This window comes from Homo sapiens, chromosome 18, assembly GCF_000001405.40.
Source record: "Homo sapiens chromosome 18, GRCh38.p14 Primary Assembly".
Classification (NCBI taxonomy): Eukaryota; Metazoa; Chordata; class Mammalia; order Primates; family Hominidae; genus Homo; species Homo sapiens.
Window position 1 is genome coordinate 53,367,536 of NC_000018.10, and position 26,596 is coordinate 53,394,131.

Consider the following 26,596-nt stretch of genomic DNA (forward strand, 5'->3'; position numbering starts at 1 on the left):
ATTTTCTTAATCATTTTAAAGTATACAACTCAATGTCATTAAACACACTTGTAATGTTGCGCAGCCATCGAACCGTACATCTCTAGAACTCTTTTAATCTTGTAAAGCTGAAATTCTATACCCATTAAATGACACCTGCCCATTCTCCTCCCTCCCTGTCCCTGGCAGCCACCACACTAATTTCCATCTCTATGATTTTGACTACTCTATACATCACATATTAGTGAAATGATATAATATTTACCTTTTTGCAACTGGCTTATTTCACTTAGCATAAGGGCCTGAAGATTAATCTGTGTTAAAGCATGCAACAATGCCCTCAGAATTTCCTTCTTTTTAAAGGCTGAATAATATTTCATTGTATATTGTACCTCATACCTGCTTTTAAGGTTTGAGAGTGTAATACTCAGAAATGGAATTGCTAGATCATATGGTAATTCTATTTTTAATTGCTTGAGGCTCTACCATACTGTTTTTCATAGCAGTTGTACTATTTTACATTCCCACAAGCAGTGCACAAGGGTTCCTATTTCTCTACAACCCTGCCAACACTTGTTGTTTTGTTTTTAGTGTTCCTCTTTTCAATAGCAGCCATCCTGATAAGTATGAGGTGGTAGCTCATTGTAGTTTTGATTTTCACTTTTCTAATAATTAGGGATGTTGAACTCTTTTCTTGTACTTATTGGCCATTGTATATCCTCTTTGGAGAAGTGTCTATTCATGTCCTTTTTCTGCTTTTGAATTAGGCTGTTTGTATTTGATGTTGAGTTTAGGAGTTCACTATGTATTGTGCATATTAATATTTTATCAGCTATATAACTTACAAACCCTTTATTCTATAGTATGGGTTATCTTTTTACTTTGTTGGTACTTTATTTTGATGTACAATGTTTTTAAATTTTATGAAGTCAGAGGCAAATTGCCTATTTTTCCTTTTGTTACTTACCTCTTCTGTTGGTGTCATATCCAAGAAAACATTGCCAAATCTAACATCGTGAATTTTTGCCTGATGTTTTCTTCTAAGAGTTTTATAGTGTTACATCTGACATTTAAATCTTTTACCATTTTGGGTCGATTTTTTGTAGTGGTATTAAAAAGGGTCCAACTTCAACCATTTGCATGTGAATATCCAGGTTTCCCAGCACCATTTGTTGAAAAGACTGTCCTTTCTCCATTAAATCGTCTTGAAATCTTGTCAACATTATTTGACTGTATATCGCAAGGGTTTATTTCTGGGTTCCCTATTCTATTCTGTTGATTTATATCACTGTATATATGCTAGTACCACACTATTTTGATTACTGTAGCCTTATAGTAAGTTTTGAAATCAAAAAGTATGCGTCTTCCCCTTTATTCTCCTTTTTCAAAATTGTTTTGGCTATTTGGACTCCTTTAAGATTACATATGAGTTTTAGATGAGTTTTCTGTTCTAAAAAAAATCACTAGAATTTTTAATAGAGATTGCATTGAATCTGTAAAACACATTGGGTTGTACTGACTTCTTAACAATGTTATAGTTCTTCTAGTACGTGAACACGGGCTGCGTTTCTATATATTTAAAGTCTTTAATTTCTTTTGCAGTGCTTAATTGTTTTTACTATAGAAGTCTTTTATCTCCTTGGCTCAGTTAATTTTGAAGGATTTTATTTTTTGTACTATTATAAATTGAATGCTTTTTGTAATTTCTTTTTCAGATTGTTCATTGTTATTTTATGGAAACACAACTGATTTTTTGTGTTATTTTGCTAAATTCGTGTATTTGCTCTAAAAGGTGTTTTGGTTTTTTTGTACGTGTTTCTGTAGAATCTTTACACTTGATTTTAGCTAAAAACTGAAAAGTTATATTTGCAAAATCTTAGGGTTTTATATGCATAAGACTTTATCATCTGCAAACAATAAAATTTTACTTCTTTTTTTTCCAGTTCAGAATCCTTCTATTTCTTTTTCTTGCCTAATTGCTCTGACTAAAACTTTCAAGTACTATTAGAGTAGAAGTGTTGAAAGTGGGCATCCTTGTCTTTTTCCTGATCTTAGAGGAAAAGTCTCACCATTGGGCATTGTGTTTGCTGTGGCTTTTTCATATATGACTTTTATTATGTTGAGATAATTTCCTTTGATTCCTAGTTTGTTGAGTATTTCTACTGAAAGGGTGTTGAATTTTGTCAAATGCTTTTTCTGCATCAATTGATGACGTGGTGGTTTTTCTTCACTTTATTAGTCTGGTGGATTACATTGATTAATTTTTGTACGTCAAATCATTTTTACCTTCCAGGAATAAATCTCACTTGGCCTTAATATAATATATGCTGCTGAATTTGGTTTGCTAGTATTTTATTGTGGATTTTGGCATAAATATTTATAGGAGATATTGGTCTGTAGCTCTCTTTTTTTATAGTGTCTATGTCTGACTTTGGTAATAGGAAAATGCTGGCCTCATAGAATGAGTTAGGAAGTGTTCCCTCCTCTTCAGTTTTTTGAAAGATTTTAAAAAGAACTGGTACTAATTTTTTTAATGTTTGGTAGAATTCACCTACAAACCCATGAGGTCCTGGACTTTTACTTGTTGGGGAATTTTTGATTAGTGATCAAATCTCCTAAATAGTTGCAGTTCTATTCAGATTTTCTATTGTGATTTAGTCTTGGTTGGTAGTATGTTTGTAGGAATGTGTCCATTTTATCTTTGTTATCCGATTTGTTGATGTACAGTTGTTTCTAGTACTCTGTTGTAATCCTTCTTATTTCTTTAAATCAGGAATGGTATCCCCATTTTAATTTCTCACTTCAGTAATTTGAGTCTTCTATTTTTCTTAGTTCATCAAGCCAAAGGTTTGCCAATTTGGTTTATCTTTTCAAAGAACTAGCTTTGGGTTTCATTGACATTCTCCATTTTCCTATTCTCTATTTATCTCTGCTCTAGTCTTTGTTATTTCCTTCCTTCTAGCTTTGGATTTAGTTTATTATTTTTTAATTTAAGCATTTACAGCTGTAAACTTTACCCCAGCACTACTTCTGCTGCAACTCATGTGTTTTGGTACACTGTCTTTTTATTTTCACTTGGTTCCATGTATTTTCTAATTTCCTTTGTTGTTTAAGAGTGTATTGTGTTATTTAATTTCCATACATTTGTGATTTTCCAGTTTTACTTCTGTTATTGATTTATAACTTCATCCCATTACGGCCAGAGAAGATACTTTATATGATCTTTATCTCTCACTATGCATTGAAACTTACTTAATAGGATATGGCCTATCCTGGAAAATGGGAAGAATGTGTATGCTGTTGTTGTTAGAGTGTTCTACATATGCCTGTTAAATCTAGTTGGTTTGTTTTGTTAAGTCCTCTATTTTCTTATTTATCTTATGATTCATGCTTAACCAACAAAAAAAAATTTTACCGAAACAAGTGATGTTCTCTCGTCTAAGATATTTTCTTAGAATACTAAACACTTCTACCAGTGATACTGCTGTTAACAATATTTTTTGGAAATTATTGTTGGCAAAGTCTTTTAGAAATTATAGCATGACCTTTTGAATTTCTTTATTGATAGAAATATTTTATCAGTGGATTTGGTTTAATACAACCAACAGTGATTCAAGGCCAAATCTTATAAGATGAGCAACAAGTTATAAAGTAACATTTCAGGGTATCTTTTAAAGAAAAGTCTAAAAATGACAAGATCATCTGTCTATTTGCAGCTTATTTTAAACTGTGTTTCTCCCTTAAATTATATACTCAAAATAGTTGGGAGTAAACAGCAGAGACATCTCTTACCTAAAGTTATTCTAGGGCTAGTTCATCTTGTCAGAAGTATAATCCCAGTCCACAGTTTTCAAAGAAGTGGGACTGGTGAGTGTCAGAAAAATATTATCACTAGTCAAAAGCATGATTGCATTTCCTCTTGTAATCTGCAAAGTGTCAGAGGAACAGTTATTCTCAGTGTTATTGCATAGGCATGGAAGTGGTAAAGAAAAAATGTTTTTGGTCACAGCTACCCTAGGATGATGGTTCTTGCAGGTTTTTAAAAGACAGAATAGGCATCAGAGATAAATTAGGGCCCTAAAATAAAAAGAAAATGAACAAAACTTTAATTAAATTTATAATGAATTGTTATGAGAAGTGTCAGCCAGTACAGATCATAATAATAAAACAAATACCTTCTATTGAATGTTAACCCAATATCTAGTTGTTTTAAAATATTATATCAACTATTTTATAATTATAATGTCCAGAATTTACAAGAAAAAAAGCCCATTAAAAAGTGGGCAAATAATACGAACAACGCTTTTCAAAGAAGACATACATGCAGCCAACAAGCATATGAAACAATCCTAAGCATCACTAATCATTAGAAATATGCAAATCAAAACCACAATGAGATACTGTCACACACCAGTCAGAATGGCCATCATTAAGAAGTCAAAAAATAGCAGATGCTGATGAGGTTGTGGAGAGAAAGAAACAGTTATACACTGTTAGTGAAAGTGTAAATTAGTTCAGTTATTGTGGAAAGCAATGTGACAGTTCCTCAAAGGACTTAAAAGAGAATTACCATTTGACTGAGCAATCCTATTACTGGAAATATACACAAAGAAATATAAATTGTTCTACCATAAAGACACATGTGTGTGTATGTTCATTGTTGTACTTACTATTCAAATAAGCAAAGACATAGAATCAACCTAAATGCCCATCCATGGTAGACTGGATAAAGAAAATGTGGTACATATACATCGTGGAATACTATGCAGCCATAAAAAAGAATGATATGGCCTTTGCAGCATGGATGGAACTGGAAGCCATTATCCTAAGCCACTAACAGGAATAGAAAACCAAATACTACATGTTCTCACTTATAAGTGTTTGCTAAACAGTAAGAACATATGAACACAAAGAGGGCAACAGCAGACACTGAGGCCTACTTGAGGGTAAAGGGTAGGGGGAGGGAGAAGATTAGAAAAAATACCCATTGAGTACTATGCTTATTACCTGGTAATAATAATCTGTACACCAAACCCCCGTGAATGCTGTTTACCTATATAACAAACTTGCACACGTACCCATGAACCTAAAAGTTAAAAAAAATCAACTATATATGTATTAAATAAAAGTGATATAATTTACATTTGCAAATTACAGAAGACAAGCATATATGAAACCTAGAGAAGTTAAAAAATTTTTCAAGAATAGTAGTTGAAAATTCACTTCTAATGCTGGTGTGTCTAATCCCAATTCCACGGCCTTCCACTCTCTTGTGCCTCCTTAGGGAGAAATCTGTCCTGAAATAATTCTGTACTTCTGGGCCTTGATCCTCAGAACTCTGTAATACCCACTGAAAGTCAGAGACCATGTGATTTCATTAGAGTCATAACCCCTTCTAGGTTTGTAGCCCCTTTTAAGTTTGCATCTCTGTATTTTTCTCTGGCTTCATATCTTCTTCCCACTTCTCACTAAACAAAAGGCTAAAGAAAGCTGAGCCTAACCACATGTTTGCCTCTCCACAAATGAATAAGTTGCTATTCATCATTTTCTTTTGTTTGCTTTCCTTTATCAGAATTTTCCAAACATGCAGCTGTATTAAAAACTAGGTCAATTTAAAGCAATCATGCACAAAATTGTTTATTAAAATACAAATATACACCAGTAATGTTATAATTGAATGTATTTTTCTGGGACCCATAAGTCTTTTGTGCCTTTGATTTCTCTGGTTTCCTCATGTGGATAGTAATTTTTACCAAGAATTTTACTATGAATAGATCTAGTGAATATTCCTGCGGATGCTGACATTTGGTAGCTTCTTGACTCATTTATGTTAAGTCCATTTAATTTTTTCTGTTTTTATCCCCTCTCTCTCCTCTACTCCCCCGAAATAATCCAAGTGAGCAACTAAAATGCTACTTGATTTTCTTGAGAACTTTGGCCAGAAGCTATATTTATTTATAATCACATGTCCTAATGCTATATTGTTTGTACGACTCATTATTGTAGTTATTATTCTTTACCAGTTGTTTATTTTTACATAATTATTCTAACTTCATTTCATCATGTTTTATTAAAGCACAAGGTTAAAAATGAGTTCAGTTTTACTGTCATCTTAGAATTATCATTAACTTAATGTCCCTTTTTGTTAGTTACAATTTTTCCACCTACTCAGGTGTTCATGAGTTGAGTATATACTCAAATGCACAACAAACCCAAATTTTAGAGCACAGAATTGAAAATCATGAGTTTTTGAAAGTTTCATGAACTGAGGCAATCTTATTGCCATTGCCATGAGGAGAGAAATTGATTAGGTCATATAGAAGGAATTGAATGAGATAAGGCAAATGCTTTATTTTTGTTATCTTCAAGTGTGATATATGTATGCAAACTATTAAACTCCTACCCATGCTATAAAGTCATAGTATGTGTATGTACTGACTTACTTTACATTTGAATATAAAACAGATAAATAGTAACAGGAATCCTTTACACTGAATCTGCTTCATCTGCCCTTGGCATTGTCCACAGGCTGTAGCAACTACAGCAATGCCATGGGAGGCAAAGGTAAACAGAGCTTTTATGTAGGTGTGCTGTCCAGTGTGGAAGCTGCTGTCCATATATGGCTATTTAAATTTGAATGAATTAAATAAAATGAAAAAAAAATAGATCCACATTTCTTCTACTCACATTGTAAGTACTCAACAGCCACATGTGGCCAGTGACTACCACATTGGACAGCAATAATACAGAAAACTTCATCATCACAGAAGGTACCATGGGGCAATGCTGTTTTATAGTATTTAGTAGATTGCCTTAATTGGGACTTAGCCTCTGAATAATGAAAAAAGCAGAAGCAACAGTGCACAAATAGATGACATCCAAGATTTTAAATAAATACACACATATATGCATGAAACTATGTATTATTTGTGTGAGCATCATCTAACTGGCATGCTGGGTGATTAGGTTAGCATTTAGGTAACAAAAGATGTCACCCATTGAAGACAAGATCCTGAGCAGGCTAGTTCAATGCACACATTCATACACACACGTACACACTCACATACACACAAAGTCTTAATGCTTGTTGAGTGAAAAGGCAAAATAAAAATATAAAAGATAGTCAACCATGACATATGCTAACATACTATGATGTTAGGAGAAAATTAAATGGTATTCATACACGTACCCACACACATACACACAGTCTCAGACACTTGTTGAGTGAAATGGCAAAATAAAAGTATAAAAGATAGTCACCATGACATATATTAACATACTGTGATGTTAGGAGAAAATTAAATGTTGGTTAATATTTATTACTAAAGAGTTAAAAATGCAATCTGCACTCTTCTTAAAGTGAGGTATGGTAAAGCCTCCAGATTATTTCTGTCTTGTCATTATTTCCACCTTTGCATTTCAAAGAGAGTGTAAACCATTTGGGCCTACTTGCTGTCTTACTCAGTGTTTATCCTGCAGTGACCCATGGGTGGATTGGAAAGTAGGACAGACCTGGCTTGGAATCTGAGCACTGCTACTTAATGAGCTCTGTTTTCTCATCTCCTGAATGGGGACAATCACTGTGCCTACCTTTTAGGGTTCCTACGAAGATAAGTGCATCAGAGCACTTCAGGATTGACATCTGGTGCAGGAAGTGCTCATAAACAGGGACTCAGGTTCATATACTAACCTCTGATCTTCCTTCCTAGCCTCTCTGTATCTTTATCTTTATAGTTCTTTCTGTTCATGTCTTCTGTTTTAATGCTCTGCTATGTCTTTGATCCCTTGCCCTCACTCAGAAACCCAAAGGAATGAATATGGAGATTAAGAAAGAGAAGGCTACCAGAAAGTAAAGTAAAAGGAGAAAGGAAATGGGAAGAGGAAGGAATTACAAACATCTATAAAAAGATATGCTTCCTCTTTTTGTTCCTGACTAAAACTCATTTTGTTTTATTTTGTTCTCTTTATGCTAAAGAGTCAGTTTGACTGACTTTTTAAAATAATGATTTGTTTGCTTGAATTAACTAAATGAACAATATTTATATTTCTTAATAATTGAGTCCTTAGGTGATCATACAATGTTACCACCTTATATTTAATTCTTTTTTTTTTTTTTTTTTTGAGAAATGTGAACAAAAAGAGGAAAACCTGTGTGTTTGGTTATAAGGTCTCTGGTTAATTTTCTGATGTAAAGCTTTACTGAAAAATCATTTCATTAAGTGCTCCACTTGTGAGCTGCTTGTAGTGCTTTGTAATCTAAGCATTTCTTCAGTCATTTCTCTGACTCTGAGGGCTCTCTGCCAAAGCACGGCTTACCAACTGGAGCAGGTAAGGAATGTTTATTTTGCTGTAATTGGTGACCAAAGGCTGCTCTGCATAATGGCTCAGAGGAAAACTCAGACCTTCTATTCCTGACACTATGGAGGAGAAAACCTGAACTTAAAAAGGCACTCGGGTCTTACCTATATCTTTTTTGATGAGGTGATTGCAACTGGACCTCAGCCTTGCCATTTCTAAAATAGGGATGATCATTCCTACTCTATCTATTTTCTAACGTTGTTGAGATAATTGATACAAATATTATTTTAAAAATCAAGCCAGACGCGGTGACGTGTGGCTGTAATCCCAGCACTCTGAGAGGCTGAGGCAGGCGGATCACTTGAGGTCAGGAGTTCGAGAACAACCTGGCCAACATGGTGAAACACTGTCTCTACTGAAAATCAGCCGGGCGTGTTGGTGGGTGCCTGTACTCCCAGCTACTCGGGAGACTGAGGCAGGAAAATTGCTTGAACCTAGGAGGCGGAGGTTGCAGTGAGCCAAGATAGCGCCACTGAACTCTAGCCCCGGCGAGTGAGCAAAACTGTGTCTCAAAAATAAATAAATAAATATTTAAAAATAAACAAACAAAAAGCAAAGCACAGTATGCATGAGTTTGCTTTTTCTAAATGTGATGATGAAAGCTATCATATAAATTTGGTAGTACTCACCAACGTAGAGCCAACAATTCTAAGCAGCTTATCTCCAGTCTGAGTCTAAAGAACCCTAAGACATCTAGTTAATTCAGTGGTAACAATAGGGAAGCAATTATTTGGAAGAGTGTCTGGAGTACACGTGCTGCTTTCCTGAGCTCCAAAGAAAGAGGCCACCATACCACAGGTTTTTTTACACAATTCTTACACTATGACCGGAGCCCAAGGCAGACAGTCATCTTTAGCTATGCTGCCCTTTCTTCCCTATATCAAATATGACAGCAGAAATATCTTTTCTCCCCTCTTGACTTCCTAATACTAGCAATAACTTTATCTCATTATCAAACTCAAAATTTAAGAGTCACTCTTGATTTTTCCCTTTCTTCATTGAGTAACAAATTATGTTACTCACGTCCATTGTTTGCTCTTAATTTATACTTTACCACCTCAGTTCAGGCCCCTATGGTCTTTGCCCAGACAATTGCAATAGCTTCTGTAGTATTCCTACTTTCAATATCTTTTCCACTTTCCCTGGACTGCCTAGTTCTGAGGAATCAATTTCCCTAAAAGTGCAGTTTGAAACTTGTTGAAAATCTTCTTCAACTCACATCTCTTATTCTATAAAAGGTAGATAACACAGAGGATACAAGGCTGAGCTTTAAGAATTAGACATGATACCACTGTCTTAGTCTATTTTGTGATGTTATAACAGAATATCTGAGACTGGGTAATTTACAAAGAAAAGGAATTTATTTCTCACAATTCTAGAGGCTGAGAAGTCCAAGGACAAGGAGCTGCTGCATCTGGTGAGGGACTTCTTGCTACATTATCCCATGGTGGAAGGCAGAAGGACAAGAAAAGATGCATTTGAGAGAGAGAGAGAGAGAGAGAGAGAGAGAGAGAGAGGAAGAAGGCCAAACTCATCCTTTTCAACAGGAACCCACTCCTGCAATAACTACTCCACTCATACAATAGCAGCATTAATCCATTCATGAGGCCAGAGCCCTTGTGACCAATCACCTCTTACATGTCCCACCTCACAACACTCTTGCACTGGTGATTAAATTTCCAACGCATGAACCTTGAGGGACACATTCAAACAAACCATAGCAATCACCTACCTATAAAAAGAGGACACTCATCTATTCAATAAATATTTATGGAGTCCTTACTGTATGTCACACTGGATTAAGGTGAGAAATAAATGAAGTAAGGGATGGGAGGTAGTTAAAAGGCCTAATTAGGCATCCAACAAATGTTACTATTAGGAAAAAGAGAATGAGGAGGAGTTGCTGTTATTATTGTCTTCAAGTTTGATTCTAATATGCATGACGCATCCACAATGAACTGTGCCCTTGCATTTGCTTGTTTCACTCTTTTCCCTCAGCCATTGTTCATCAAAAGATTCAGCAAAACTGCCACCTTCACAGAGAATGCTCTCTGATTCCAGAAGGCTTTGCTCTGGTTTATTTATTTATTTTAATTAATTAATTTATTTTTTTAAGACGGGGTCTGGCTCTGTTGCTGGAGTGCAGTGGCGCAATCTCAGCTCACTGCAACTTCTGCGTCCTGGGTTCAAGTGATTCTTGTGCCTCAGCCTTCACAGTAGCTGGGATTACAGGCACGTGCCTCCTTACCCAGCTAATTTTTCTATTTTTATTAGAAACAGGGTTTTGCCTGTTGGTCGGGCTGGTCTCGAACTCCTGGCCTCAGGTTATCCACCTGCCTCAGCCTCCCAAAGTGCTGGAATTACAGGTGTGAGCCCGACCCTGATTTTCTTTTAAACCTCCAACACAATTTTTTTATTAAAAGGTTCATTAGGGAAAATAATGGTTTTTGTTTTTGTTTTTTAATCTTTATGTACTCTAGAGAGCTTATAAAATACATAATATATCTTACAGAAGATGTTCAATGGCGATTGTTGAGTGTCCCTTTGAATGAACAAATGGAAGGATGAAGATTGAATGTGAATATGCAAGTGAGAGAGGAAAATATTATAAAATATCTTTGGATTCATTTTTTCACACACCTACTGGTATCAGTATGTGCAGTTTAGGATCAGGAAATCTGAGTTCCATGATCAAATTGATTAGGGACTTGCTATTCAACCTTCAGTAAATAATTTAGCCTTTCTGTGTCTCATACATTCAGCAATTCAACAAATATTTGTTAAGCACCTTCTATCTGCCCAGCACTGAAACATTTCTCACTAAGCATGTTTTGACCTGATTTTCTTCCCGGTAATACACTTTAGTAGAAGATTGAAAATGTACCCTAATTTTTCTTCCTTGGAGTCAAATACTTTCTCACACTGAGTAGGTGAGTAGCTGGTATCTGCAAGACTGATAAATGAGAAAACATGTCATAAACTGACCATTCTTTGGACAGTATTTCTAGAAAAGAAAAAAAGAAAAATCTTTATCAGGATGCCATTAGATTAGCTATTAATTACGTTTATAAAGGAGTATATGTAATGAAGTAGAATTGAATGCATTATACAAATGGCATCTTTCTCAAATATGTGTTGCTCATCCTTTTAAGAGACCAATGCAATCATCCATATTGTCTCTCCACCCACTACATTTAATTAAACAGTTTGGGTCCAGTGGGGTCAAAGGTGTTCAGTAACATTTACCGTCTGACAGCAATCCCATGGCCTATATTCTGTGAATGTGGAAGCCCTGGTTCATTGCAATGAGCAGGTATCTGCGTTAGCAAAGCAGCTACCACTCTAATTTTCTCTAATTGACTTGTTGGCAGTGCTAACAGAGAGGGCAAAAGATGCAGGAACATGCAGAGTGGGCCCCGACAAGAACTTGGCATGGATGAGGCCAGTGAGTGAAGTATATAATCTGTAATGAATAAAGGACTCTGGGCTGTCAATCTGGCACATGCCACTGGCATTTAATTCACACAAAATATTAATTAAAAATAATGATGTTCTCCCCAGCTTTTGTCGCCAAGTACAGCATCTTGGTCTAGCCCTGAAGAGCTGTCTACAGGTTTCTTGATTCATTCCCTCAGCCCCAGAGAAAGACATTCATCTCTTACCTTCAGGGAAGCCTCAAAAAAAGCTCTTAGAATAATGGGTCTCTCACCTACCAAGTCTCAGGGGAAGGAGAACCCAGGCTTTTCCTGATTACCCATTTCTTGTCTTTTTCAATCTCTGTGATCAACGAATGTGCATTTATTTTCTCCTTTCCTGGCCACAGAGAATATACTGGCCAAGAGCCATCTATTTTGGATGCTCAACGAGTTACTAAATATTTCTTCAGTTTCCTTTATCCCAAACTGAGGTGTTCTACAAGAAAGGTTGGCCAAACAATAATGAAAATCTGATCAATAATTTCAAATCTGCTAAATAACCCAGAATATTCTTGATTTAAAAGAATTCCCGTGGACTTCCAAATTATTATTTGGAAATTTATTTTCAAATTATTTCAGTATGATTAAATCACAGTAAATTCAAAGAAGAAAATACTGCTGAGCTTTATTTTGCAGAGGCAACTGATAAATTTTTAAGCCTATATATTTGCAACATTTTAGCAAGTACAAAAAAATACACTTACTGTCATGATTGTCACTAAGTGTATTCCTGCACAATGGGGTCTGGCCATAATTAATGATTAATTCATTTGGAATCATCATGATAATATTAAATGTGTTTAACTCATTTGATGCTTCTGTAGAGGGAGCAATTCTAGGCAATTCTTTTGTGATTTACTGGTTTTAAAGTTTAAGAGCTCTGAGCATGTGCAGGAAAATAGTTCCACATTGCTCTCCAGTGGCACAGTGGTAAATTACACCCTTCTTACATACTGGTAGAAAACCCTCATTCTCTCTTGCTCCCAATTCACACTTAAAGCATCTTTCCTCTTCCATATACATTCAAACAAAATACCTCCATCACAATATAAAAGGATATCAAAGCACTATAGCCCACTTGTTAACTAATAAATGTACAATATTTTCTTGTTTTTTGTTCTGGAAGATCAATTATTGGATCAAACTTTATCAGGACCGGAACAAAATCCTATTGTTTCCTCAGTAGGTCCAGAATGCAGTTTGGCAAGAGCACAATACAGAGGCTAGACTCCCCAAAAGATGTTTATGAGCAGTTAAAGTGTGAAAAGCATAAAAGAAAGCTCCTGGAAAAGGCAGTCAAAGGGGTTGTGGAGTCTTCCCAAGCCTTTATTACTTAGGTAGTTCTGCATTACTTTAGAAAAACCATTGACCTTACCTGAGCCTCAAGTTACTAACTGACGATAGGAAAACATTGAGCCAAAACATCTTCAGGACTCCTAGCTCTATGGGATATTCTTATACCAGTTACAAGTCCATTGCAAGTGTGTTTACTTTTTACGGGGCTAAGCTGTTACCACTTTTTGTTTAAGTGTAAGGTTGATCTTCTCTAAGATGTGCACAGCATAGTAGGTATTGGTGAAATACAGTGATTAGTATAATTCATTAATCCAACAGAGAGTAAATTATAAAGCTCTCGACTCAGCATATTCTATACCATGGCTAAAGATCAAGTGAAAGAAGCTGTCATTACTCAGATGACTCGAGATTTGGTAGGTATCAATATTAGCAAGAGTCTGTTTTGGAATGACAGTTACCTCAAATTTATGGGGGTTAGGAGATGAAGAAATGATGACTGCTTCAGATTAAGTTAAAAATTCAAACCAATACAATGAGAATCTTGTATTCTCAGTACCAAGTAAGGTATTTTTAATTTTTTTTCTTTTTTAAAAAAGAAATAATATACACCCTGAAAGACTGAAAGGTAATAATCCAGTAATGTTACAGAAGCTTTTACAGAGTGCATTTTCTATGGAGCTATAAATTAAGCATCTGGGTGGTGGGAACAGAAAAATGAAGACATGAATTTAGTGTCTCATGGACTATGCTGACCATCCATAAGCTACAGCTGTTAACCCTGATTAGGAAGTCAAAGGCTTCCTATTAAGTAGAACATTCTTTGAATCCTAATCCAAATTGGACCTGTGAATATAAAACAATCACTTCAAATCTCCTAGCATAAACACCTGTTTCATTCTTTTATATTTACCCCCCACCCCCCCCCCACCACCACCTTACCACATCATATAAAGTTTCTAGTTTGTTGTTGCTCTAAAGGTTGACGGCTTGACTATGGAAGACCAGACTTCAGTATCTATTTTTCCGGGATTATATGTATATTGGCATGTAGTTGGGTATGTAGGAATCTGTCCAAGGTTATAGACTAATGACCACAGGCTTGGATTCAGTCCAGAGAGATAGTTTTTCCAGGATAGGAAATTTATTGTATTTATTGTATTTTCCAGGACAGGAATTTATTGTATTTATTTAAATTATCTGCCAACACTGAAAAATTTGATAATTTCTCATAAAAATCTGGATTTCCAGATAATCTGACAAAACTGGGACTACCTTCCATACACTAATATTATCTTGGACCTGAATAGTGGCTCCACTCTTTAGATCAATCATATACTTTCCAAGATCCTCTCTGACCTAGTGGCTCTCATACACTGTAGCCAAATCTAGCCGTTTTTCTTTTCTCTCTCTCTCTGATTAAAAACAACACACACACACACACACACACACACACACACACACCCCTACCTCCTAAGCACTTGAGTGTGGAATTTCTGATCACTTTTTCACTCTTTTGATAAACACTTAGATAGATGCAAATACGGAGATGTATTCAAATTGCGAATGGAATTTGAACTGCAAAAAGGCAATTTTAAATGGCTCAAGCCTAATAAAAATGTTTACATTTTTGGTGCATAGATGATTCATATATTTGAAATCAGACGTAGTCCATCCTGCAATAACTCAAAAGAATATATTTCCCAGTGGAAAAAAAAGTGTACTTTTTGATCTACCTAATTGTATTTTCACCATTTTTTCACTGAAATGTTTTCTTCCTCCTATAGTGCTTCTTAGTCCTACCCTTATTCACAAGCCCTAGTTCAAAGTTCATATATTCCAAAAGTCTTCTTTGATGACCTAAATCCTCACTAATTTTTCAGACCTCTAAATGTATAGCATTCATAAGCTATATCACATACTTTATTGTTTAATTTTACATAGTCTTTCATTGTTTTCTCTGCCCAGAATTATATTAGTAACCTGACAGAAATTCATCTTCTCCAAGTACTTGGATCTCAAAGCGCATTTAACACTTGTTGATTGATTACTTTCTTATTAGGAAAATAGCTTGACAACATACATTTTCAAAAAAGAAATATTCCCTTTTGGAGGGAAAGCAATTCACTGAATAGAAGCCCTTTGACTACATTAGATATAATCTTATTTTATTCTTCTTGCTGTATTATAGCTCTTGAATCCATGTGGTTTAGAGTCTCAATATCTTTAACATTAATACTTAGGTCACATACAAATTTTATGAAGAAAACTCAATCAGATCAATTTTTATAGATGTCTATCAGAGATAAATACACTCATTTTTAAGGCTTTTTTATTTTGATATAAAACCCAGATACAGAAAACCACATGCAACAAATGTGTAATTTAATGAAGTATTATAAATTGAAGTTCACCATGTTTCCTTGCTCTGTTTTCTGCAATCTGTCATTTAGGTCCAGAGGCTAGATCAGACTAAGTAGGTTTGATCCCTTTGGCAAAACTCTGGAGAGTAGTCTGTTCTTTCATCAGGAAGCACATACTGTCTCGTTGTCTCTATTTTATCTTAGCAATTATTAATGCTTAATGCTTAGATCCATTCATTAATGGGGGCTGTAAAACAGCAATATTTTAATTTTACTGTTTTGTTTTTATTTGTTAGCTAGAATTATGTTCTGATTTCACAACCTCAGAAATGACCAACTGTTATTCTTTAAAATACCTTTATCAAATTATGCATTTATGTATATTTGGTGAGTTTCCATACATCACAGCATTTATGCTTTTCTGTTTGCAGATTATCCTTATCTCTGGTCTGAGGGAGTCTCTTCAAATTGACTACTGAACCCATTTGACATGATTTTATTAGTTGCTTCCGTTCTATCTAGTATGTCAAAATATTTCAGGTTCATTTGGCATGTTTTCTACTTTAAGAATCAACCAGTTCTGCGAGAAGCTGCTTCTTTTTAATAGGAATTAATTTTCCCCCAAACTGCAGTCTGTGTATTAGGGATGGTTATTGCTACCGAGTCCAGGTTTCCAGACATTTTTTAGCAGACAGAGCTGGAAGAGAGAAAAAGTACAATTTTGAGTTCAAACTTATTTTTCCAATTCAATTTTAGGAACACAGACTTTATTTAACCTTTTCTGTATTACATCTCTAGGTCTTTTCATCTACACCAAGAATCTGGTTCTCAGGGACAGAGGGGATGATAGAATATCTCATGTTTACCCATTTGCTTTATTCCATATTACATTAGTCTCAAAATAATAAAAGTGTCAACATCAATAATAATTATTGAAGTATTTATCTTTGCATATACTGTCATTAGTCTTTAATTTTGTTTTATGATTGTACCATATCTATAATATCAAAACATTTAGCCATTACAAAATAAAATATCTTTCCTTTAACTTAGTCTTAGTTTATTAAATTTTTATTCACCAGTTAGCTATTAAATCAGTATCTCTTCTGGTCATCGTATATGCCTAAAGCTCATTTACTAGTAGTTCTGGGGATCAGGGAACAATATTCCTGAGTACTTGCAAGTGGATAAGTTTGTACCCTTTATGTTTAAAGTTAATTTTTGTTGACTATAAAACTTTGAATTACATTTTCTTATGTTGAGTATCTAAAGTTACTCTAATTTCTTCTGCCGTAAAATGTTATATAAAGCCTGATAATCTAATTTTTTTTTCTAAGTCATATATTATTTTTGTCTGGATGCCTAAAACATTATTTTAAATCAGCAGATTTTTTATTTAGTGATTCTGTTTTTATTTTCCTTTGGATTTTCCTCATCAAGGACTCCTATTATCTGTACGTTAGATCTTCCTTCTCTAACTTCAATATTTATCACTTTCTCCTGAATCCTTTTTCAGTCTTCTTAATTTCTTTTGTTATGTTTTTGCTTTTGACTTGTATTCATCTAGTTACCGTTCATGTCTAAAATTTTTTAATTTACATATATCTATTCCTTGAGTTATGCCACCTCATTTCTGAGTTTTCTGATTTATGTTACTTTTTCATATCTGGCATTTTCTTAATGTAGTTTAGTTCATTTTGAAATCATAAATTGCAGTTTTGATCTATTTTTCTTGGGTGTTTTCTTCTACTTTTTATCCATTTTCTGTACTTTTCTATAGGAATGATATTCTCCTATTTTATTTTTTCTTGTGCTAATTTTGTAAAGAAGTTTACCTCAATAATTTTTTTTTCTTTTTTTTGAGGCAGAGTCTCGCTGTGTCGCGCAGGATGGAGTGCAATGGCGCTATCTCGGCTCACTGCAAGCTCCGCCTCCCAGGTTCACGCCATTCTCCTGCCTCAGCTTCCCGAGTAGCTGGGACTCGGGCACCCGCCACAGTGCCCGGCTAATTTTTTTCTTTTTTTTTTTTTTTTTGTATTTTTAGTAGAGACGGGGTTTCACCGTGTTAGCCAGGATGCTCAATACATTTTTATTGCTTACATTTATGTAATTTGTTTTTCCTGTTCTTTCAGAAATTCAGAGAGCTCTTCTCAATACATAGAGCTCCCTGTCCTGTTCTTTTCAATAGACAGGGTTCAGCAAACTACAGGTTACAAGTAGAATCTGGAGCAGGTCTTGTTCTTGTATGGACCCCTGAATTATAAGTGGTTCTTACATTTTTGAAGTGTTGTAAACAAATAAACAGAGATAAAAATTGACAGAAACAATGTGACATTCAAAGCTAAAGTATTTACTCTCCGGGCCTACGAAAGCTTGCCAGCTCTGGATACAGACTGAAAACTATGGCAGCTTGCTTTCTGAATTTTCATGGTTCTTCTTCTCCCCTACTTTTAACTGGACTTTCTCTCCCCTTCATCAATATTGTTTCAATCTTGGTTATATCTTACATCAGTTCACAGGAGGTTGTCCCCAGTTTGGGCCCAGTGCTAGAGAGGAGACTTTGCAGGTCAGTTTTGAGTGTTTAAATTTGTTGTTCTGGAACTGATCTGCTGTGCTTTCCAGCATTAGCTGATACCTATTTTAGAATTATCCTGTTTTTAGGTTTGATGCTTCCCTTTGATGTTTCTTACACAGATGCAGACAACAAACAGATGATGAGGCTGTCGGTTGTTTATTCACACCCACTTGTATATTAGGGTTCGAGGGCACACATCATCACATAGGTTTGCAGCAAGCAGATAAATGCTTTCGGTTTTCTACCTAGTAGTTCAGTATGTTTTCATATGGGGATTGAGGAAGATCAAAAAACCCTACTGCTACCACCCACTGCCACTTTCCTTTCTGAATCCAACTCACTCATTCTTAAACAATTTACCAAGTAGATTATATGAAATTTGTTTTGAGGAAAATGTTTGCCTTGAGTATTTTGATACATTAAATATATCAACACGTTCATATTGTTTCTGTTTTTTCTCCAGAGTCAAGTTCCCATTATGTAATCTCCCTAAAAGCTTTTAACAATGCCGGAGAAGGAGTTCCTCTTTATGAAAGTGCCACCACCAGGTCTATAACCGGTAAGTGAAATTGTTAATCTTCCTCTGACAAAGTATATTTGATTTATGGTGAAAAAAGAAAAACTAAAATAAAATACAAAGAAACAAAAATGAATATATCCTATCATTATCCTCTGATAATCCTCAGAGAATAATTATCCTCTGAGTCTGATAAGTACATATGTATACTTGCACACATATGCATGCATTTTTTTATTTCTTTGGTTGTCGAAATTAAGTAGGAGGAATTCAGTTTATAAATTTGCACATGGACTTAGAGAATATAGATCTCTCAATCTGTTCCTTCCCAATAGCATCATGGTTTTGGTGCCCTGATACCATGCTTCCATCTCCTGAGCAGTTTGTCTCAAATCAATGCCATCTTTGTCCCTGCATAAAGGTTGCCAAATGCCTAAATAGACACTTGCTTCTCCACACAGGGTCTTTCAAACTAAGATGACAAGGAAGAGCTGGCCTTCTGGGGTGGTTTGCATTAGGCTGAGTGACATATGTGGTATCTTCCTGAGCTGGGCCTCCAGGTCACCCCAGCAGTGCCCAGGGCCTCAGGACCTTAAAGGGATAGCTGATTTAAGGCCTTGTCACCCTTAGGAATTTTTCTGTTAGTTGGACTGTAAAGGCAGTACATAAGAGTGAAAGGGCTCAAGATACTGAGAAAGAAATGGGTAAGATGGTGAGATCCAAACTATTTATGGAGGTTATTTGTTAGCATGTGTAGGCTTAGTCCAAAATACAATAAGCAACACATTTGTAGGGCTATTCAGAGTCCCTGGAAAGTCACTTGACTACTTCCCCAAACCCCTGCCACAGACTTATGTCTGAAATCTCCAAGTAAAACCCAAGTTCCCTCTCTAATTAATACATTGAATCTGCCCCCTCACACCCTTCGGACGTCGTTTAACTTGTCAGATATTGTCCCCTTAACGAAAACAGAGGATCTGAGATAGCAAGCATCGGAGAACGTGAGATGTTACTGATGTTTGAAATTTGGATGAGTTGGAAGAAATGGTTATAAAATAAATAGTGGAATCCCGTGGCTTCTACTCCTGCCCAAATTTATGTGAACTTAGTGCAGTTTGTTTGCCAAATGTACAAGCTTCATTCATAGACTATCTTAAGAATACAGTTGTTCTTTGAATTCATAATTGTTATGTCATGGCCTTTAGAAAATACTGTCACTATATTGATTTTAGTAGTATTATTTAAGGCAAAGTTGCTATTGTAGTCTCTTTGAATCTTTGACCATTGTTTCCAGGTCTACAATCTGTCTAAAGTAGAATGCAAAATTTTGGGCAGATGTCAATATGTTTATTTATCTGTGGAGACAGTATATATCATTCATTGTATAATCAAAGGGGTTCATGACTTCTCTAAAAGAGTAAATAATTACCCCAGAGAATATTTACTATCAAACGTGTTATCTCCAAATATAGAAAGATGAGAAAACTTGAGGTTTGGGTTACAAACTAAGAGCTAACAGATGGGTGTCTGGGATTTTAACTTTATTCCCTTGCTCTGCTAGCAACAAGATTCTTTGTGAGCAAACAGGCCACTTTGGCTGCACCATTGTGTCTCATAATTTTCCTTTAGTGACCATCTCTGTCCTGCCTATGGTAAAAGATCCCCAGTAGCCGCTCATTGCCATGGTGACTTGGCACTTGTGATCAGGCCATGCAAAATGATACTACAGTCGGTCTTTTCAAGCTCTTATTCTCTTACCAAAGCTAATGGCCCCAAGGAAGGACCACTGAGGTGGCAAATAAAAATCGCTTTTCAATCAGAAACTGGAAAAGGTGAAAGAATTCAAATAAACTGAAAGTAAGTTGTTCAGAAAGAACCACTGGAGTCATTATCAGCTTCATTCTTCTTAGCATTTGTTGCATTAATTCTAGCATATGACATTCCCAAGGTGGTTTCAAAAACACCAGTGATCCAGGCAATTTTTATTTTCTGATGACTCAGATCTTAAAGGAACTGAGAATTGAAATAATACTAAAAGTTGGAATTTGTGTGAGGAATTTTCTTATTGGAGAAAAGCCAGTTAAGGGGTTCGAGAAGAATGCGTGATTCCAGCCCTTTTCAAAAAGGAAAGAAAACACTTTTTCTGGAAGTGGCAGAATTATTTTATTTTGCTTCCACATGTCATGGAGAACAAAGAACAAATAAATGAAATCAAAGGTTAAGGAAACTCCATTAATAAAAGTGTCAGTGCCACATAGACGGCATCCTCTATCTCTAAGCTTCTGCAAAGGCATACCATGGACAGTCTCGAACAAGGGCCCGTGTAAAGTAACTACAAAATATATCACAGGCAATAAAACCTCAAGTCAGAATAAGCATCAGGCTATAGAGTTTTCTGCACACATGTGCTCACAGATGTTGGTGAGCTCTGGAGCCTCATCCCATACTGGGAATATCAGCATTAGAGCTGCTGAAAGTCTCACGTGGCCACATGCATTAAGAGTCTCATTTTTGCTGTAAAGCCCTTTATTTCTTGTTGTCTTAAGGACAAGATATCTTGAGCCTGGAGAAGGAAAGAAGATGAAAAGAAGAAGACTAATAAAACACGCTGTTTCATTGATTTATTCTCAACTGCTTTATCAATGTTAAAATGAAGTACAATCCACATGTAAAATTGCATCATTATTTTTAAAGTTCATTTTTTTTGAGATAGGGTCTCATTCTGTTGCCCAAGCTGGAGTGCAGTGGTGCAGTCATGGCTCACTGTAGACTTGACCTCTTAGGCTCAAGTGATCCTCCCACCTAAGTCTCCTGGGTAGCTGGGACTGCAGGTGTGCCCCACTATACCTGGTATTTTTTGTTTGTTTGTTTGAGATGGAGTCTTGCTATGTTGCCCAGGCTGGTCTTGAACTCTTAGCCTCAAACAATCCTTCTGCCTCAGCCTTCCAAAATGCTGGGTTTACAGGTGTGAGTCACCACACCCATCTAAAGTTCATTTTGAATGTTAGTGTAATGACTCAACATTCATGGGCACTTACAAAAACACCTGTTAGGAATTGAACGGATTTCTTTCTCAGCAAAAGTTTGGAGGCTATATTTTGTCTTTTACTAAATTTTTTTTCAATTCTCTTGAATGTAACCACTCAGAGTCAGCGTATAAATCACCCAGTGGTAGGAAGAGAAAAGAAAAAAGTTCTGTAGCAACAAAAGAATGTGTTAAATTCAATTATTCAAATATTAATAGTTTCTGACCTGAGAGAAAAAGACAATTAATATATGCAATATGTATTAATAGCTGTGCTTGCTGTGCACGATAACGCTCTGCTTTGCTGGAAATGCTCTATATCTGCATCAGACACTAGGTTTTTATAGCAATTTAACACTTGAAATTGCCTAGTGCTACACAGGAAGTGAATTTTTTGTTATTCTAATTTATTTAAACTTAACTAGTTCATATAACTAGTGGTCATTGTACTAGCACAGCTCTGGAGGAAGTGTCAAGAAGGATGACAAGCCACACCTGAAAAAATATTATTCCATAAAATGGGAAAGAAAAAACTTGGCCAAGGATAGAAATTTCTGGACTGTGTAAGTCCATCAAGAAATACCACCCAACACCCTTGCTTGAAATTTCAGAGAAGCATTCTGGAACTGACTCCAAGAAACTCAGTAAGAATGGTCATGAATAGTATACCCATTTAAGATCAGAAATAGCAGGATTGACTATTTCCATTTCTTGAAGAAGAATCACCCTATTTCAAAACGTTATGTATGGCACCTGTGAAAAAACTATACAGTTAATGTATGTTTACCAATAAAACTGGATTAAGAAAACAGTAAAATAGGTCAAAAGAGGAGTTTGTAAATTAGAAAACGTCCCATATGTGTATCACGTTCTTCTTGTAAAGCCAGCTAAAACTAGAAACAAGTAAAACAAAGTAGCACCTGCTTTAATTTGGCAAAAATGTCTTCCACTGCTACACAAACCGATGAATGATTGGAATCCTTGTGGAGACTGCAACGTCTTCTCTTTCCCCTTCATCGTTTTATAAATCTATTTGAGTTTAAAGGATCCCTTAATAAAAAGAGACATCAAATAAAATACAGAAAGCCTGGGCTCTGTCATTAAATTTTAAACACAACTCTCTTTCTCTTTCTCTCTCTCTCTCCTTTTATTTTTGTTTTTGTTTTCAGTTTTATATTTTGCTCCAAAGACCACAAACTAGTAAACTACTGAATAATTCATTGGAAAACAGAGTGATGAATAGGGGATAGGCATTTGAAATGCAGTGGACAAAGTGAAGTAATCATCAAAACCAGCCAGCAGTCACTCCACTTTAAACTAGGCTGTTGAAAAAAATAAACCCTGTATTATGCTGCTGTAGACACCCAGCATATTAGTAGGTCTCATCTCCCCAAATGTTATCATATGCCCAGCCTGAGAGTTATATTATCACATATTATTTTTCTTAGAATATGCACTACATAATATAAAGATTTTTTAAGTGTAAATGTCTTAAGTACAAAATCAAATGCTCAAAGTTAGGCTGTTACTGTGGCCACAAAATCAGCTTCTCTTATTCTGATATCACAGCATAAACATGATTACAAGGTGTTTTGGAGAATTTTGTAAAAACACACACATCATTTTGCAGATTCCCATTATATTATGGATCAAAGCATGTATATACCTCAGTGCAAATCTCATAAGTCTGTAGGTAGTTAATCCTGTCTTGCCATCCAATAATATAAAATTGTAGGAATGTGTAATATGGGAACTCCTACCAAGACTAAAAACTTAGCTAATTACTCTGTGAGAATGTGGGTAAAATCACACTTCTACATTTTCAAGGGTTTCAGTCTAAGAAAGCCTGACAAACCAGGTGCTGTCTGAAACTTAATTATCAAATATATAATTGATCCATGGGATCATGTGTACCTGGTCACTCTGGTTTTGTGCAATCACAGCCACACACAGGTTGCTGTGGATGTCAGGGTACTTTGTTCTTTATTATTTATTTGTTTCTTGCCCAGGAAATGTGTTTGCAGATATAAGCTAAGCAACAATGAAAACAGAGAAACCCTATTAAGTTAGAGAAGGAGGAGAAAATAAACAAAAAATTAGGTATTAGATAAGCAATTAGCTTTTTGTAGGCAGAAATAAACTGGAACCCCCATTTTTATCTTATTATTTTAAATTATATAGTAATAAAACTGATCGATCCTGTAACTAGATCTTTTAAGAAGCAATGTGCAACATTTAAAAAATAGTCTTTAAAATATATAAGCAGAAGTGACAGTCAAATTGATAAAACCACTCTAAGAGAATGAGTAAATTATAGAAAATATTCAATTACTTTTTTGCAATATAGCAATACTGTTTCTAATGTGTTTTCCGATTGAATTAATTACATTTTTTTCTGTTCTTCTCATGTTCCCTTTCATCATTATTGCCATGCATTTAACTCATTGTGATGTGTTACCACTGATATTTATTTTTTAACGCTTTTATTTACGTATTTATTTGTTTGTTTCATTTGGTGGGTTTTTAAACCCAGATCCCACTGACCCAGTTGATTATTATCCTTTGCTTGATGATTTCCCCACCTCGGTCCCAGATCTCTCCACCCCCATGCTCCCACCAGTAGGTGTACAGGCTGTGGCTCTTACCCATGATGCTGTGAGGGTCAGCTGGGCAGACAACTCTGTCCCTAAGAACCAAAAGACGTCTGAGGTGCGACTTTACACCGTCCGGTGGAGAACCAGCTTTTCTGCAAGTGCAAAATACAAGGTGAAGTTCTAATTGATAGCATGAAATTTAAAATGAACTGACATTTGTTTAACACATTGTTTTAAACCTCTCCTGGACTGTCATGAGTCGTTTTGCTGCTGTGTATCTATGTAGAAAAACAAAGCATTTTAATAACTCAATATCTAAGATTAACATGAGAATAATTGTATTTTAGGAAACAATTCTAAGGCAAGGTAGGAAAACATCAAGTGCTGTAAAACGTTATTTGCTTTTCACCAGATGCTGAGTTTGTATAAATGATTTGATTCTGTGCAAGAGAATGCCATTGTCCCTTTAAAATAGCAGAGATCTATGTTAATTTTCTGGATTTTGGTATCTTTTTTTTTTTTCCATTTGGAATCTAGATTGATTTACAAAGCGACCCTATTAATGTCACAGAGACTCATCTTTCAGTGAATATAACTGGGAATAGATAAGTTGAAGATATTTTTTTGTAACCTCAGCACTCTAAGCCATTAACATCTACTTCATTTAGCCTTGAAAACACACTATTATGGTAAAGAAAACTCACAATCCACACTCCCATTTAGCTAATATGAATTCACCAGCTCTCTGTTCTTGTCCTTATCACAGAGTTATCTGACAACCTCTTTAAGAGCTCCTCAGAGATACATATTTGAGACAGTCATTACCAGTTTCAAATCTCTATCAACCAGCCTCAGGGATCATAACAACAAGTTATATACTAAGATAATTTTGTTACCTCCTAAAACTGCTATGATGTTAGTATATATAGACAATATACAAATGTAGACAAAAATGAGAAGATCAACAAGTAGTTGTCAAGAACCTACTATGTACCTAGAAATGTACTACACCATAGAGATGGTTTATTTTGAAAGAAAACATGGTGTAGTCATTGTTACTTACTACATATAATTTTAGGATGAATTATACACTCAGCTCTATGGATAAACTTAAAAGAATTCATAAGTTATTTGAGAGATATAATGTATAAAAACACATTTAGAACTTAAAACTTCACAAGATACTGATTGGGAGTGAAGAAGTCAGTTTTGAAAATAAGAGCATAAATGCCACCCAACAACTAAGAAATCAAATAGTTCAACCCTGGCTGTCTTCTTCCTACTCCTTTTGTGTTCTCTTAACCGCTTGATTGGGGTAGCTCTTGAGGAGATTTTAGGTCTCCTTATACTTTAGCCAATGTTCTTTTCACTGAACTACCATCCTCCTGAATCCAGCCTCAAGCTAGTAGTGATTTTGGGGGGATGAAAATATTTCGAGGATGTTTTTTAACCCCAATCCTGGAGCTATAGCTAAATCCCACCACCAATCCTGTAAGCTTGCTTCTCTCTCCCCATAGCCATGCTGGATCTTCCTGTGGTGTCTTTCAACTTTTAAATGGCATAAAATTCACATTTCATCATAAATCAGATTTTAGTTGAAACCATTTAAAGACAGTTTTCTTTGGTACTGCTGCCCTGTTAGGTGAGGTATTTGGAAGAACTCTCCAGGCAAGTCTAAATAGTATCATTGTTATAAGGTATGTGGTAAGTACCCTATCCATCTCCTTACAGTAGTAGATTTAAGATTCAGCAGAACTATAAATAAAGATAACATTATCAGAAAAGACAACCAATGAAACATATGAGACCATTAAAGAATGTCTCTTTTTATATAGATTACCCAATTCTCTAAGTTTACTTTTAGAAGGCTACTTTCTCCACTTTAAAAATTTTATGTCATAATTGCTGTACTTTGTAGATACATTCATTTCACAGAATGGCCATGGCGACTTTGCCAGAATGTGAAATGTTCTAAGGAAAAATGATTGTTTTCTTCAGAATGGTTTGAGTTCCAAAATTTCCTGAAGCAAATTATTTCAGTTGAATAGTTACTACAGCAGACATGGAATTACTGAATCTCACAAAGAGTGCCTGTGAGGTGAGACTCAGCCCAAAAAGATTTTAACTGTTCCTCTTCCCTTCATCCTCCCTGACAGAAGGCTTTCAATTACTAATGTACTATTCCCTCTCTCTCTCTCCCTCTCTCCCTCCCTCCCTCCCCCTATATATCCATACCCTGATATGAGGAGGGTTAGAGAAAACTAGAAAGATATAAAACAAATTTAAATTTTACAAATAATGGTGATAGACTCTTTGAGTTTTCACTTTGTACTTTTCAAGCCAATGTCATATCTTTACTTCATCTCACTTCCACTACAGCTTTAAAAGGTAGGCAGGACATACACACAATAGGAAA

At 35.4% G+C, this 26,596-nt stretch overlaps 1 protein-coding gene and 1 long non-coding RNA gene across 6 annotated transcripts in view; one reads left to right on the forward strand and one right to left on the reverse strand.

The window, feature by feature from the left end:
- The window catches only part of DCC (DCC netrin 1 receptor), a 1,195,703-nt gene that overhangs the window by 1,027,339 nt on the left and 141,768 nt on the right, over nt 1-26,596 (forward strand). For 3 of the 5 annotated variants that reach the window (NM_005215.4, XM_017025568.2, XM_011525844.3), the window contains 2 exons: nt 18,508-18,603; nt 24,120-24,352. In NM_005215.4, the coding sequence (NP_005206.2) occupies nt 18,508-18,603; nt 24,120-24,352 (329 nt within the window). The remainder of the gene's footprint in view (nt 1-18,507; nt 18,604-24,119; nt 24,353-26,596) is intronic. The other 2 variants (XM_017025569.2, XM_047437311.1) reach the window with 1 other exon arrangement.
- On the reverse strand, nt 20,706-22,641 carry LOC124904305 (uncharacterized). The gene is made up of 2 exons (XR_007066377.1): nt 22,507-22,641; nt 20,706-21,124 (listed from the first exon to the last, which is right to left on the reverse strand). It is a non-coding gene; the product is annotated as an uncharacterized LOC124904305 (long non-coding RNA).